Below are 16511 nucleotides of genomic sequence, written 5' to 3'. Positions count from 1 at the left end.
AAAAATTTAGAATAATTTGATGAACAACAAACAGCTTGAAACACATGTGAATCCACAATGTGCACTTCCTCATAGATCTTTTATATGGTCTGGCTACCCCAACTGGAGCATTCTGACACTCCTTTATATTTAGCATGCTTGATTTTGCCCACCTATCACCTAACATCTGGAAAAGTTTTGGTAGAGTAATATAAGTCTATTGTACAGATTCAGGAAGAACTTTTAGACATTATCTAAAACAATCTTCTTGTCTTTCAGTTTAGGAAATGTAGATGCAAATTGTTAATTGTCCTCCCAAAGGCACAAGGTTGTTACTGATACCTGTCTTGTTATGGTTTGAATGTGTTTCCTGCAGAATTCAGGTGTTGCCAGTGTGGTAGTATTGAGAGAGGTGGGGCCTTTAAGAGATGATTAGTCCTTGAAGTCTTCTCTCTTGAGGATGGTATTAAGGCCTTTATAAAAGACGCTACATGTAGCATTTGGCTGGCTTGACCTTCTGCTTTCTGCCACGTGAGAATACCCTTCCTCCTCTACAGAGAGTGCAGCTCTCACCTGACATCCAAACCTGCCAGTGCCTTGATCTTAGATTTCCCACCTTCTGGAATGCTGAGAAATACATTTCTATTGCTTATAATTTATCTGGTCTCAGGTATCCTGTTGTAGGTCAGCACAAACAGACTAAGATGGGAATATAATTCTAATGTACTGATTCAGGAAGAATTTTTTCACATTACCTAAAACATTTTCTTCTCAGTTTAGGAGATTTAGGCACAAATGAACTGGCTTCCCCAAACCACATGGTGGTTAGTAATAGTTTTAAAAGTTTTTACTTCCAGTAAATTGTATAATTCCTCGTGATCATAATGTACCAAATGTGCTATAAAATGTTGAATCAAGTTCAGATACTATAAGAAAGACCACTACTCTGTTCTTGGAGAAAGGAAGGGGCTAGGTCCTATAATCTCTTCTCTTTTCACAAAGACACAGAGAGGTTAAACTAAGTGACTCCCTAAAGGATGGGTAAGAAACAGGGATGTGTGTCCTTCCAAGTTATTATTATTCTGCAGACTCTGAAGGAACCACAGTGCTACACCGTGCTATTGTAAGTTCTTGCCTTCTTTACAGTGAAGTTACATGAGAAATGCAAACAGGTAAACAAAAAAGACCTGAGAAAGGCCAACTTTTTGACAACTGTTTAGACTGAGACGGCCTAAACAGAAAACACATGCTATTTCCCCTCAGCCTGACTGATTTGGCATTCAGAGTACAAGCTCACAGGAGAGGGGCTGGGCCTGTCCAGTCAGGAATTGCAGTCAGAGACTTTCCCTGCCCCTCGCTGGGAAAGAACATTAGGAATGCCTTTTAGTGCCTTGCTTCCTGAACTAGCTCACAGTAGCCCGGCGGCCCAGGGCAATCCGACCACATTTCACTCTCACCGCTGTAGGAATCCAGATGCAGGCCAAGTACAGCAGCACGAGGGACATGCTGGATGATGATGGGGACACCACCATGAGCCTGCATTCTCAAGGCTCTGCCACAACTCGGCATCCAGAGCCCCGGCGCACAGGTACCCTGTCTCCTGGAGTCCAAATAGACCACAGTCCTTGTGAAATGTGTGAGATGATCTATCCCTCCTAGAAATGGAGATATTTAGCTTGCATCTTATAATTTTATTTCCAATTACTCGCCCTGTGACATAGTAGTGATTTTTTTTTTTCAGTTATATTCAGTTCCATAATTCCCACACTTAGAGAAGGATTTTATTTCCTGGGCCACTCAGCCAATCTAAAGCTAAAATATGACTTCAGTTCTAGTGAAAAGGACTCACATGGTAATATACACAGGACTAGGTTCTAGGTCCTAAACCAGGTATGCCACTTTCCTTCTGTGTAACTTTGGATGAGTTGTTTAAGTATCCTGGTAGCATCATATTCTTTATTTATAAAATATTAACGGCCACAAACATGTATAAAGGGCTCATTATGTGCTGGCAGTGTTTTAAATACTTTAAGTATATTAATTCATATTAACTTGACTTAATATTAAATAGAAGTAATAAAACTTCCTTTACAAGGTGGTTGTGAGTACTGAGAATGATAAATTATGTAAAATATTTGAATGTCTGTCTGATCTGATATAGACTGACACAAAATTGCTGAAAGGAACACTTTAGGTTCTTAAGAAATGGAATGTTGAAAGGAATCCCACATTTTAACATTCATTCAGTGCCTGTGTTTTAATATGCCCTTTCCCTTCTGATTATATCATTGTTTTCTTCACCTTTGTAAATCTGGATATACCTTTAAAAAAAAAAAACTATCCTGTTCCTTATTTCTTTATCAAATAACTTTTAGTTTTCCTTCCTTTCTCCTACTAAACCCTCCATTCACTTTCTATTTATTTCTATTTATTAAATGACCCTCCACCTGAAACCTACTAATATGGCTTTTTTTTTTTTTAACTAAACTACCCAGTAAGCTGTTAAGGGACATTGGGGATTTCCAACCTCTTTGAAATGAAGCTAAGTGACAAAAGTAGGGATGTCAGCTTTTGTAGCCACAGGATATGTGTAATAGGATACAAAGCGTTTTCCTCCAAAAAAACTTACGAAGAGTCCATTTTTACGGCTGTGGTTTTGAGTAGCTTGTATATAACTTCATTTTCCACCTTTGACTGGAGCCAGGAACTCTGTCAAGGACTAGAGATCAGCATAATTAAGAACAGCATGTACAAATAAGTTCTGCTGAGGTTGAAGGGTGGAGAGGGAGGTGGAGCAAGATAAAACACTAGCTGCAACATCTGGGAGCTTCTTTGTAAGAAATGGATATTGAAACAGTAGAAGTGGAGATTACAAAGAATTGTCTTGGAAGAAATCATCTGGAAATAGTTATCTTAGGCAACATATATGAGATCTTGTTTTCATCTTTTTATGGTAATACAAACATTTAGGGGAATACCATCATAGAAGTATAATTATTTCTTAGATAAACATATCTGATATACCTTCGCTGATAAAAATAACAGCAGAAATCACTCAGAAATTTTCGGCAATGTGGAGGATTCAGATTCAACATAATGATGTGATACCATTAAGAGCTGGCAACTTTTATTTTTTAGAATTAATAAAAATAAATCACACACACATTCATTTAATTTCTAGACTTTTGTCAATAACAATTGACGTAACAACTATGTTTGTGTTTAAAAATGCCAAACAATTAAGATAGTAAAAATGCCAAACAATTAAGATAGTGAAAATGAAAAACAACAACCTCATACATTTTTCACAAACTTATGTTTGGGGTCATGTTATCCTAGTACTGAGGATATAATGTCCAATGTGATATGGTCCCTGTTCATAAGGAAATTGAAAGTCTAATACAATTCTCAACTAAGGAGTAAGTATAATAAGGTGTTATGGCAGAAGCATGTACAGTACAGCCGAGAGCTTAACCAAGCTCTCGGCTTAATTTTTACCTAATTAAGTAGAGGAGTTCAGGAAAGGCTTAACAGAAGGAGCAACTGTGGAGTTGAGTTAATTTTAACATCTTCCACATAATAAGGAATCGGGAGTGAGGGTGTTTGAGAGGCTGGGGACACTATAGACAGAGAGACGTATGAAGGGAAAGTCATGAAGGTTTTCAGTAGCTTTGTATTTTTAGAGAACTATAAGCAATATGTATGGCGTAGGTGTAGAGTTGGAGGAGGGAAACTTAGCAAAGGGGTAAGTCTGGCAAGTTAAGGAGGGATTTTAGGGCATGCTGATCTAGTTTAATTCTATTCAATAGTTAAAATGAAGTCAATGCAGGATTTAGATAGGGAGAAACAAAATTTTGCATTTTGGAAAGACCTTCCTGGCTGCAATGGAAATGATAAGTTGAAGGTATATGAAACTGCATGTGCTGATACCAAATTTTTCCACTAGTCCAGTACAAGGGTAGAAAAACCTGAACTGAGGCAGTATAGTAAAAATAAGGAAAAAGAATCAGATATGAAAGATGTCGAGGTGTTGGAGTTTAGATAATCGGTGATTGGTTACATGTGAGGAGACAAGGAAAGGGACTTCGGTGGTAGGTTGACTAGGTTCTGTTTGATGTAATGTAGATGGTGCTGATGTTAACTGAGACAGAAACTATAGAAGGGACAGGAAAGATGATGAATTGAGTTTGAGTTTAAGGGGTCTGCAGAAGGAGGGACATGCATTTGGAGCTGTCCAAAGACACCCGTATATGCAGGATGTGGGTTGGGCTACATAGACATGTGGGAATTACTGGCATAGTAATTAAATAAATAAAGTAAATGAGGTACCTAAGTCATTAAGTCAAATAAATGGCTAGTAACTAAAATGTATGAGAGTGAGTGAGATCACTGAGGGAAGGAATGTAAAATGAAAACATGAATGAACAGAAGAGAGTGTCAAGGAGATAATCTGAGGGAATATCAACACCTGAGGAGCAAGAAGAATGAAAGATTCCAAAAGGAGCTACCAGGGATGAATAGCAGAGAGTGGTAGAAGCAGGAGTCTTGGAGAGAGACAACAAGGGCATCAAGAGACAATAAATTCAAGAGTAATGGAAAATTAGAGTAATGGAAGGACAATAAATTCAAGAGTTTTAGAAAAGTCAATGATAATGACTGTGAGTTTTAAAAACAACAAATAACAAATACTGCAGAGAGTTTAAGCGAAAGGAAGACTAAAATGATTATTTAACAATTTATCAATAAGGAGGAAAATATTTAGTTTTGACAGCAGTGGTTTGAAAAGGAACTGATGGTTACATAATAAAATAAACAATTTAAGTCATTTTCTCTTTTTCTTTCTCTCTTTTTTTTTGAAGATAAAATGGGTTATTGCTGAGGTATTACAGCATTGGGTGACAGATTTTAAGAATGATTTTTTAAGATGTGGGAAATTCTAACTCAATTGTAGATTGAAAATAAGTTCAGGGAGAGAACTTCACATTAACAGTACAGTAAGAGGAGAGAGGATGAAATAACTGACAGGCTGAGATTCCTGCCAGAGACTAAATTTTATCCTATCAAAAGAATATGAAAAATTACTTTGGTTAAATAATTTTAAAAAATTTAATAATAAATTCAAGTTCCTCTTTTCCCTTGTTCACATTAATTACAGTACTATTGAATTTCCCAGCGTTTTAGTTTTATTTCCTCAATTACAGCATAAATCCCTCATCACAGTCATGACATAAATCGCTGTTAACTGATTCAACAACTCTTTAAATCAAACCTACTAATGACAAGACATTATGGGATGTACTAGAGGAGCCTCTTTTTCAGGTGCTTAGAGAAGTGGAAGGAATACTCTAAATCAATAGTTGTAGTAAATGTCATTTAGTGCTATTAAATCAATGTTGGAGGCCGCAGAAGCAATATAGGAATGAATGAGTTACTGATTGAGTTTAGTTTTGCGAGTTCCCAGAGGAAGTGACATGATCTGGACCCATGAGGCTAAGAAGTAAAATGGGATCCTATTAGGAGGAGCCTGATACAGTACACTAAGAAACTGACTAAAACAGAAAGAGCCTTGGGAAACTTCTTCCTATGGAAGAGAGGAAGTATGATTAAATTTATGCTTTCAGAATTCATCTTGCTGGCAGAGTGGACATTTCATAATGTAGAAGGGAAAAGTTGCAAGCTGCTGTCATTCTATGATTCCAGATGCACTGCCATGTATAAATATTGATCTGAGATGTGTTGGGAGGATAGGAAGATGATTGAAAATGTCCAGCTCTGGAATCAGTCAGCTTGGGTAGCTCTGTGCAACTTAGTGACTTAGGCAACTTAAGTGACTCCTTGGTAATTCAATTTTTGTAAAGGTTGCTTCCAGTGAAATAATGTGTATCTAGAACACACTTATGGTTACTATTAATAACTATTTCTCTCTCTCTCTTTTTCAATACTCTCCATCCAATCATTCTATATAAAGACATGGAGAAACACAATCCTGGGGAGTTACTAATAGTTCATTAGTAACTATTGCTAATAGTAGCTGTGTGTTCCTGAATAAGCTGTCTAAACCTGCTAGGCCTCAGTTCCCTACCTGTAAAATGAGATAATAATATCTACCTTATAGGGGGTGTTTGTGAGGCTAGATGAGAACATTCATATAAGACATTTTTCTCAGTAACTCAAGAAATTTGAGCAATTATCATTAATGGTAATGTTGTTTTTGAATTATATTTCAGTAAATAATATCTGTTGATGGGGATATAAAATTGAGTCACCTAACTTTTACTGAAGATGAAAAATATAATTAAATTTCTAAATACTGTGAATTAGAACCTCAATGATATTCTAGAAATAGCTCATATGTTTTTAGATGTATACTCTTTTCAAATAATAGGAAGGATAACACAGATTTTCATTTAGAGAGTATGAAAATAGCAATATTTGAAATAGATTCATAAGAGAAAAGAAACCTGCATTTACATGAACACAGAAAAGCAGACTCAACCCGTGAACTCAGATTCCCATGAGGAAGTTTCCTATGTGCCATATGTGAGGATTAAGGAAACAAAGACGTTTACATTTCAAAATACAAAGGGATGAAAAAGTGCTTTCTGAAATATTATGTACATTGCCACCAGTTTTGCCCCCATGTCTCTGTGATTCCTGACTGGCTCATGGAAAAGTGTGCAGAGTATAGCGTTAAACATAATTTAATCCTAGCTCTGCAACTAGTTTGTAACATGCACATTATTTAAACTCTCGGTGTCTTCTCCAGCTTTTAAGACCTTTTGCATTTCATAGGTATACTAATAGACTGTATATGGTAATGTCAGCTTAGTTTCTTGGGTGGAAAACAAAATTTTCCCTCTCTGATGCCTGATGAAGGGTAACTGGTTAAGTCTGACAACTCTCCACCCACAAAGTTTCATATAATTACACAGTAATTGGTATCCAAAATTTGACCCTAGCACTAAGGCCTTTTATAGTATGGTTAATACTAAGAGGATACAGGAAAGGTTTTTTTTTTTTTTCTATATATATCTTATTATTCCTAGGGATGTTTATATCATTCCTTGGCCTGTCCACACCCCTTTCTAAACATGCCTCAGGAGACAGCAAAGGGGTTCTCTTCCAAAAAATAAAACCACAATAAAGCCAAACCAAACTCAAGCGACCTCCTAGGCATCTTATTTTTGTGAAAATCTGTCTCATGTTAGGGTGAGGGTGATCCCTGGAGAGAGACTTCAGTATGATTAGGAGCACTTGGAATAAAACTGAGAAACATTAGACTCACAGTTAGAAGAAAAACATCTAGAAGGAAAAATAGTATCAAAGAAAAAGAAAAAGTGAAACTTTCAGTTTCATGGACTTTCCGTCATGGGAGCTTGGTTTCCTGGAAGATGAACTCCCTAGGATTGTGTTTCTCCATGTCTTTTATATAGAATGATTGGAAGGAGAATTTTGAAAAAGAGAGAGAGAGAAAGCGAGAGAGCAAGAGGGAGATGGGAAGAGAGAAGAAAAATTTCAAAATATGAAAATTTGATCAGAGAAAGAGGATTTCTTAGAAGAGATTTTTAAAAACTTTTTAAAGCCTGTTATACTTCTTTTATTTTTTCTGCCCTAGAGGCAATCTTAGGAAGGATCATGTATTTTTTTTCTTTTCATGAATATAATTATTATTGAAAGATGTTCTGATTTCTAAAGTCCAGGCCCTCACTTCACAGTAGGAATTTAAATTCACTCTTTTTGGTCCTTTGGGCAGAAAACAACAACTCCTATGTCCTCAATATTATGCGAGAGAAAGCAGATTTATTTTATTTTATCTTATTTTATTTCATTTCATTTCATTACTACTTTTGAGAGAAGATCTTGCTCTGTCACCCAGGCTGGAGTAGAGTGGCACGATCACGACTCACTGCAGCCTTGACCTCCCTGGCTCAAGCAATCCTCCCACCTCAGCCTTCTGAGTAGCTGCGACTACAGGTGTGTGCCACCATGGCTGATGAATTTTAAAAATTTTTTATAGAGATGGGGGTCTCACTATGTTGCTATCTTTTGTAGAGATGGGATCTCACTATGTTGCTCAGGCTGGTCTCGAACTCCTGGCCCAAAGCAATCCTCCTGCTTCAGTTGGGAGGATTCCAAAGTGATGAGATTACAGGCCTAAGCCACCGTGCCTGGCGGAAAACAGATTTATAAAGAGATAAATAAGTTGGTTGACTGTCATAGTTCTTCTCCTTTACTTCTTATTTTTAATTTCAGCCAGACAAATATTAATTATAAGAGGTCACAGGATTTAAAAAATTATTATGACTTTGAGATGCATATTAATGTAACTGTGTTTGAGTAAGGGTAGGCAGGCATATAACACAGGTATTTGTATATAATGGACCTATTCATTCATTTATTTAAATTTAATTGAGCTTATTTCAACTACTGCCCTAGGAATTGGGTTGCAATAATGGATAAATAAATATTTTCCAAGAAGGAGCTTAATTTTTCCTGGAGTAAGACACATATAAGCTAAATGAAATAACAAAGATATACAATATATTTAATGGTAATAAGAGGTATGTGGAAAAATAAAATCACCATGGTGGTGGGCTCACATAAGCACTTTTAACTATGGAATCTAGAAACATCCATATGATTAACTTTCTTGGACTGTATGGAAGTTTACAAATATAGGGTTTTGGAGAGGATGATTAACCCAAACTATATATTCTGCCTCTAATCTTTTTTTTTTTTTATGTTCTGCTGATCTGAAATACTTTTACAGTCAATACCACGAGAAAACCATCTTTTTCCAGAAAAACTAAGACTAAATCACATAGCTCAGTTAACTGAAGGAAACAGGAGGAAGCAAATCTCCCTTAGATTTGTTCATGATATAATCTCACAAAAGTCAATGTATAGAAACCAACATGGCTGGGAGATGTATTTAGCTGAGTCTGTTTTCTGCTGACATAGATGTTGCTGAAAATCAATAGCCTACAAAAAAAACAAAAACAAAAACCTGTAAACTTAACTTTGGAGAACCCACTTATCTCTTTAAAACTTAAATAGTTTAAGTCATATTAATTTTTTATTATTTCATTTTTTGATTATTTAAGCTGTCAAAGATTTACTCAGCCCTTATGTCCCAGGCACTACTTTCAGTAGTGGAAATGGACTGGTGGACAAGATAGACAAGATCATTGTTGTAATGGAATGTTAAATGGAGAGAAAGGAGACAGACAAAAAGAAACAAAAGTCATGAAAAGATTACCTAGTACAGGGTGAGTGATCTGCTAGAGATGGACTTACGGACCTCTTCCAAGGATGTGCCATTGAAACTGAAATTAATGCAGAGGCAGAAGTAGGGCTGATACAAGGTGCTTAGGGTCAAGCTTGATCAGATCAAGGACTAAACGGGAGACCGTTGTGAGGAGTACATGTGAGTGAGGGGAAAATAGTTCAGAAAGGCATGAAAGAGCTAAGGAAGGTCTCAATAAGACTAATGCAGGATTTAATTTTAAGTGCAATAAAGCTTTTGAAGTTTTTAAGTAGGGAAGTAGCATAATAAAATTGCCATTTTTTTTAAAAAAAGGAGCAATCTGTGAAAAGTGATTTGTATTTTATTCTAAATGTAATGAAAGCTACTTATGAAGGAGATGATTGCTAAGAAATAAGATTCACATTTAAAAATGTATCAGTATGTCTTCTCCGAGACTTTAACTTATTTTGCCTACTAGATTGTAAGTTCCAGAGGATAGTAATTATACTGTCTATTTCTATATTCTTTACTAGTTATCATTCCCCATTTGGAAATAACGTTTCATATAAATCTCTACCTAGAATTGGCCGGGCGCGGTGGCTCATGCCTGTAATCCCAGCACTTTGGGAGGCGGGGTTAGAGGATCACTTGAGCTCAGGAGTTAGAGAACAGCCTGCAGCCTGGGCAACATGGTGAAACCTCATCTCCAACAAAAATATAGGAAAAAAAAATTAGCCAGGCGTGGTGGCACGTGCCTGTAGTTCCGGCTCCTCAGGAGCTGAGGTGGGAGGATTGCTTGAACCTTGGAGGCGGAGGTTGCAGTGAGCTGAGATCTCGCCACTGCACTCCAGCCTGGAAAATCTCTGTACCTAGAATGTATTATGTATAGGACCTTGCTAGAAGGAAAAGAATTTTCCTTTCAAAAAGCCCCTCCGATCTCTTTAATCTTTCTGTTTCAGAACGTGACTTGAATTCTCAGTGAAGTAGAACTAACGGGCTACAAAGAGATCACAGTTTGTTTGAGGGTTTCACTCTCTCTTTGTTTCATTTTTATCACAGTGCTAGATGCTACCTGCACCTGACTGAGACTCTTCCCTTCAGATATGTTAGGTCATTCAGATTCAGATAGGTGACCTCACTAGGTGAGGGGTCTACTCATGACTTACAGTAAAACCTCTGCAATTACTAGTCAAACTTATGGGAATGGAGGGCGAGGAAACCATGTTTGCCACAGTTTTAAAAATTATTTAACTGTTGCAAAAATAGTTTAGATTCATCTTTCTGAAATTGATTATCATGTTTCTTTATAATCTATTTTTGAAAAAATATAAATCAAATGAATGAATAAACAATATCCTTACAATAGCGGGACTTTCAATTAAGCAATTCCACAGAAAAACAGTAAAATTATTACTTCCCATTACTAACATGCAATTTGCCTTTTAGAAAAAGCATATACGGAACTTGGGGGAAGGGGGATGTTTTTCAAAAGTAACAACAAATTAATTTCATCTTTCCCCTGATTATGTAAAAAGTTGTCCCTTGGTAAGGTTCAGAGATTCTCAGGCTGTGTTTCAGACATTTTCGTGAGAGTCTTTCATAATTAGAATTTTGACAAGCAGAAGGTTGTACAAAGAACCACATAAAGATAATGGTAATGCATAGTGTGATTCAGTGCAAAGTAAGACTTGAGGGGTGGATACAAACGGGTGGGGCTTGTGAGAAAATCTAGCTGTGATAAGTGAGGCTTGCACTGAGCCTTATGATGATGTTTCTGAGGACAGAAAGCAGGTTATCCAGCCCCTGTTACCGTTGTCCAGCCTAATTTGTTCTTGTGCAGAATTAACTCCACTCCCTTACCTGTTATTGACTTAGATGCAAGAGGAAGAAAAAGCCAAACTCTGCTTTCTCTTCTGTTCCCTGCAGAGCACAGGGCTCCCTCTTCAACGTGGCGACCAGTGGCCCTGACCCTGCTGACTTTGTGCTTGGTGCTGCTGATAGGGCTGGCAGCCCTGGGGCTTTTGTGTAAGTCTGCGCTCTGACCTGGGGGAGGATCCTGGTTCCAAGGTTTGTCTAGGATGAGAAACACTTGTTATGGATTTGTTTTTTAAACTTTAATTCCTTAGCCTTTGGAAAATTCAGTGTATCTTTTTTTAAATGGCAACTATTTAAATAGTGAATAATGGAAGAAGAAGTAAAAAAAAAATCAGTTGCCAACTAGAATTAAACATTCTGTTTGAGATAAGAAGGGTTTTGTCTGTTTGTTTGTATGTCAATGTTTAAAAAAAATCATTTATTTTAAATAAATGCATGCTTCAGCCCTCTCCCATTCCACAAAAGACTAGGGTATCAGAGGTTTGGGCTCTGAGAATACAAGGTTCAGTGGGCTAGTGCAGAATATGCTACCCATAGAGCCACGGGTACCATCAATACAAGGAGAGTAGGTAAACTCCTTAATCACCATATTTTTTAAAGGCCAGGAAGTTATACAGTCACTTTACAAAAACTTGTGAAAATCAAATTGGAAAAAAGCATATCTAAAAATATTTAAATTTCAAACTAGTAAAAACAAGTTAAAAAGCTTAAAAAAGAAAGTGGATGAATTTGCCTCAGTAGGTGAAGACCCCACAGCAATGTTTCCTAAACAGCTGAATAACTGTTCTTTGAACAGTTCTTTTAACTGTTCTTTGAACAGTTCTTTTAACTGTTCTTTGAACAGTTATTCAAAGAAAAATGTTATATAGAAGAGCAGATTTTAATGTCAAAAATTGGGTTTTATAGGAATTTTAATACTTCTGTTTGTGTCTTATATTTCAAAATTAAAAATAACTTCTTGTTGCCCTTTTTGATCCCAAAAGTTTTGTTTCATTGTGATAGAACTATTGTTTTGCAATCACCATTATTCTTGGAAATATAGAGGAACTCTTATGATTCATGAGGGATTTCTATACTTAGATGTAGAGACCTGAATTTCAAATCTGAATGTTGAAAATTTCTAGTCAAATGATGTTAGGAATTTACTTGTTCTCAATGATCCTAATTGCAAACTGTAAAATCATGGAAAAAATAATAACACTATTTCAATAACTGAATAAGTAACAATATATGGTATATTGTCAATACTCAATATAATGATCAACATATAAACAGATTGGCGGTTTTATGTTGAGTAACATTTGAGAGTATACATAAAAATATTTATCAAGCAGTAAATATAGGTTAAGAATTTATTCCTGAAGTTAGGAACTAATATTATAACTCCACATTTCTATTTATTTATTTATAAATATACATAGATAAATTATTTAAATTATACATTTTTTTTAGGCCAGGAATGGTGGCTCATGCCTGTAATTCCAGCACTTTGGGAGGCTGAGGCGGGCGAATCGCTTGAGGTCAGGAGTTGGAGACCAGCCTGGCTAACATGGTGAAACCTTGTCTCTACTGAAAATACAAAACTTAGCCAGGCATGGTGGTGGGCATCTGTAATCCCAACTACTCAGGAGGCCAAGGCAGGAGAACCGCTTGAACCCAGGAGGCGGAGATTGCAGTGAGCCAAGATCACACCACTGCACTGCACTCCAGCCTAGGTGACAGAGTGAGACTCTGTCTAAAAAAAAAAAAAACAAATATATATATATATATATATATATATATATATATATATATATATATAACTTTGAGGTATGTCCTTTATATGCCAATTTTGCTGAATGTTTTAATCATAAAGGAATGCTGGATTTTGTCAAATGCTTTTTCTGCATCTATTGAGATGATCATAGGATTTTTGTTTTTAATTCTGTTTATGTAATGTGTCATATTTATTGACTTGTGTATGTTAAACCATCCCTGCATCCCTGGGATAAAACCCACTTTATCATGGGGTATTATCTTTTTGATGTGCTGTTGGATTCAGTTAGCTAGTCTTTTTTTTTTTTTTTTTTGAGATGGAGTCTTACACTGTCGCCCAGGCTGGAGTGCAGTGGCATGATCTCGGCTCACTGCAACCTTCGCCTCCCGGGTTCAAGGGATTTTCCTGCCTCAGCCTCCCGAGTAGCTGAGATTACAGGCACCCACTACCACACCTGGCTAATTTTGTGTTTTTAGTAGAGACGGAGTTTCTCCATGTTGGTCAGGCTGGTCTCGAACTCCCGACCTCAGGTGATCCACCTGCCTCGGTCTTCCAAAGTCCTGAGATTGCAGGCATGAGCCACCGTGCCAGGCCTCAGTTAGCTAGCCTTTTGTTGATGATTTTTGCATCAGTGTTCATCAGGGATATTGGTCTGTAGTTTTCTTTTTGTTCTGTGCTTTCCTGGTTTTGGTATTAGTGTGATACTGGCTTCATAGAATGATTTAGGGAAGATTCTCTTTCTCTATTTTTGGGAACAGTTTCAGTAATATTTGTACCAATTCTTCTTTGAATGTCTGATGGAATTCAGCTGTGAATCCATCTGTGAATGGACTTTAATTTGTTGGCAATGTTTTTATTACTGTTTCAATTTCACTACTTGTTACTGTTCTGTTCAGAGTTTCTATTTATTCCTGGTTTAATCTAGGAGGGTTGTATATTTCCAGGAATTTATCTATCCCCTCTGGACTTTGTGATCTTTCGTATTTGTGTGGCATCAGTTGGAACATCTCCCGTTTCATTTGTAATTGAGGTTATTTGGATCTCCTCTCCTTTTCTTGATTAACCTTGCTAACGTTCTATTGATTTTATTTATCTTTTCAAATAACCAGTTTTTTATTTCATTTATCTTTTGTATTTCTTTTTTTTTTTTCATTTCAATATCATTTAGTTCTTCTCTGATCTTTGATACTTCTTTTCTTCTACTGGATTTGGGTTTGGTTTGTTCATGTTTCTCCAATTTGTTGAGCTGTGACCTGAGATGGTCTATTTGTGGTTTTTCAGACATTTTGATGTAGTCATTTAATGCTATGAACTTTCCTCTTAGCACCGCTTTTGCTGTATGCTAGAGGTTTTCATAAGTTGTGTCACCAATATTATCGTTCTGTTCAAAGTATTTTTTAATCTCTATCTTGATTTCGTTGTTTACCCAAAGATCATTCAAGATCAGATTATTTTATTTCCATGTATTTGTGTAGTTTTCAGGGTGCCTTGTATTGTTAATTTTCAATTTTATTTCACTATGCTTTGAGAGAATACTTGATATAATTTCAGTTTTCTTAAATTTATAGAGACTTTTTTTGTGGCCTATCATATGGCCTTTGTTGGAGAATGTTACATGTGCTCATAAAAAGAATGCATACTCTGCAGTTGTTGGATGGAATGTTTTGTAAATATCTTTTAAGTCAATTTGTCCTAGGATATAGTTTTAAGTCCACTGTTTCTTTCTTTCTTCTTCATTGTTGACTTTCTGTCTTCAAGACCTGTCTAGTGCTGTCAGTGGAGTATTGAAGTCCCCCACTATTATTGTGTTGCTGTCTATCTCATTTTTTTAGGTCTAGTAGTAATTGTTTTATAAATTTGGGATCTCCAATGTTAAGTGCATATATATTTAGGGTTGTGATACTTTCCTGTTGGACTATTCCTTTTATCACTATATAATGTCTATAATGTCCGTCTTTGTCTTTTTTTTTTTTTTTTTTTTACTGTTTTTGCTTTAATGTCTGTTTTGTCTGATAAAAGAATAGCTACTCCGGCTCATTTTTGTTTTCCATTTGCGTGGAATATCTTTTTCCACCTCTTTACCTTAAGTTTATGTGAGTCCTTATGTGTTAGGTGAGTCTTTTGAAGACAGCAGATACTTGATTGGTGAAATCCATTCTGTCATCTTTAGCTTTTAAGTGGAGCATTTAGGCCATTTACATTCAGTGTTAGTATTGAGATGTGCAGTACTGTTCTATTCATTATGCTAGTTCTTGCCTGAATACCTTGTTTTATTGTGTGTGTGTGTGTGTGTGTGTGTGTGTGTGTGTGTGTGTGTGTGTTATTGTCTTATAGGTCCTGTGAGATTTATGCTTTCAGGAGATTCTATTTTGGTGTATTCTGAGATTCTGTTTCAAGATTTAGCACTCCTTTTAGCATTTCTTGTAGCTCTGTCTTGGTAGTGGCAAATTCTTGCAGCATTTGTTTCTCTGAAAAAAACATTATCTCTCTTTCATTTATGAATCTCAGTTTCACTGGATACAAAATTCTTGGCTGACAAAATTTTGTTTGAGGAGGGTAAAAATAGGACCCCAATCCTTTCTGCCTTGTAGGGTTTCTGATGATGTCAGCTATTAATCTGGTAAGTGTTCATTATAGATTACCTGATGTTTCTGTCTTACAACATTTTCTTTTCTTTTTTTTTTTTTTTTTTTTTTGATACAGAGTCTCACTCTGTCGCCTAGGCTGGAGTGCAGTGGCGCGATCTCGGTTCACTGCAAGCTCCGCCTCCCGGGTTCATGCCATTCTCCTGCCCCAGCATTCTGAGTAGCTGGGACTACAGGCGCCTGCCACCACGCCTGGCTAATTTTTTGTATTTTTAGTGGAGACAGGGTTTCACCGTGTTAGCCAGGATGGTCTTAATCTCCTGACCTCGTGATCTTCCCACCTTGGCCTCCCAACGTGCTGGAATTACAGACTTGAGCCACTGCACCTGGCCTGTCTTACAACTTTTAAGATTCTCTCCTTCATCTTGACTTTAGATAACATAATGAATATTTACCTAGGCGATAATCTTTTTCAATGAATTTCTCAGGTGTTTTTTGAGCTTCTAGTATTTGAGAGATTGTTTGGAGGTTCTAGCAGGAGAGTGCAGCTACACATATACCCTTGACCAGACTGGTCCTCCTCTATCGGGTGTGGTCGTCCTCTTCGACCCAGTGCACAGCTTCAGGAGGGATGCACATGGAACAGTGAGGGAGGAAGGGGACACACACCTAGCCAGCCAGATCCGCTGAATCAACACTGGCAATCAGTGGGGTGACAGATATCGCAGCCAGATTGCCCTTACATCCTGAGCTTCTAGTGTTTGGATGTCTAGATCTCTAGGAAGACCATGGGTGTTTTCCTGGTTTATCCCCTCAAATAAGTTTTCCAAACTTCTAGATTTCTCTTCTTCCTCAGAAACAATTATTCTTAGGTTTGGCCATTTACTATAACTCCAACTTACTTGGAGACTTTGTTCATTTTTTTTTTTCTATTATCTTTGTCTTTGTCAGATTGGGGTAATTCAAAAGCCTTGTCTTCAAGCTCTGAAATTCTCTCTTCTCCTTGTTCTAGTCTATTGTTGAAACCTTCTACTGCATTTTCTATTTCTCTAAGTGTGTCTTTCATTTC

At 36.7% G+C, this 16511-nt stretch overlaps 1 protein-coding gene and 1 pseudogene across 6 annotated transcripts in view; one reads left to right on the top strand and one right to left on the bottom strand.

The window, feature by feature from the left end:
* The first annotated feature begins 1389 nt into the window (after window positions 1–1389).
* The window catches only part of CLEC1A (C-type lectin domain family 1 member A), a 29432-nt gene continuing 14310 nt past the window's right edge, over window positions 1390–16511 (top strand). For 2 of the 6 annotated variants that reach the window (NM_016511.4, XM_011520687.3), the window contains exons 1-2: window positions 1390–1567; window positions 11153–11251. In NM_016511.4, the coding sequence (NP_057595.2) occupies window positions 1453–1567; window positions 11153–11251 (214 nt within the window). In that variant the 5' untranslated portion in view covers window positions 1390–1452. Of the gene's footprint in view, window positions 1568–7855; window positions 7954–11152; window positions 11294–16511 lie in introns of all 6 variants that reach the window. The other 4 variants (NM_001297749.2, NM_001297748.2, NM_001297750.2 and 1 more) reach the window with 3 other exon arrangements.
* RN7SKP161 (RN7SK pseudogene 161) lies at window positions 15885–16189 on the bottom strand (annotated as a pseudogene).

The sequence above is a fragment of the Homo sapiens genome, chromosome 12, assembly GCF_000001405.40.
Source record: "Homo sapiens chromosome 12, GRCh38.p14 Primary Assembly".
NCBI classification, from domain to species: domain Eukaryota; kingdom Metazoa; phylum Chordata; class Mammalia; order Primates; family Hominidae; genus Homo; species Homo sapiens.
This window is presented reverse-complemented; position numbering and strand designations above follow the sequence as displayed.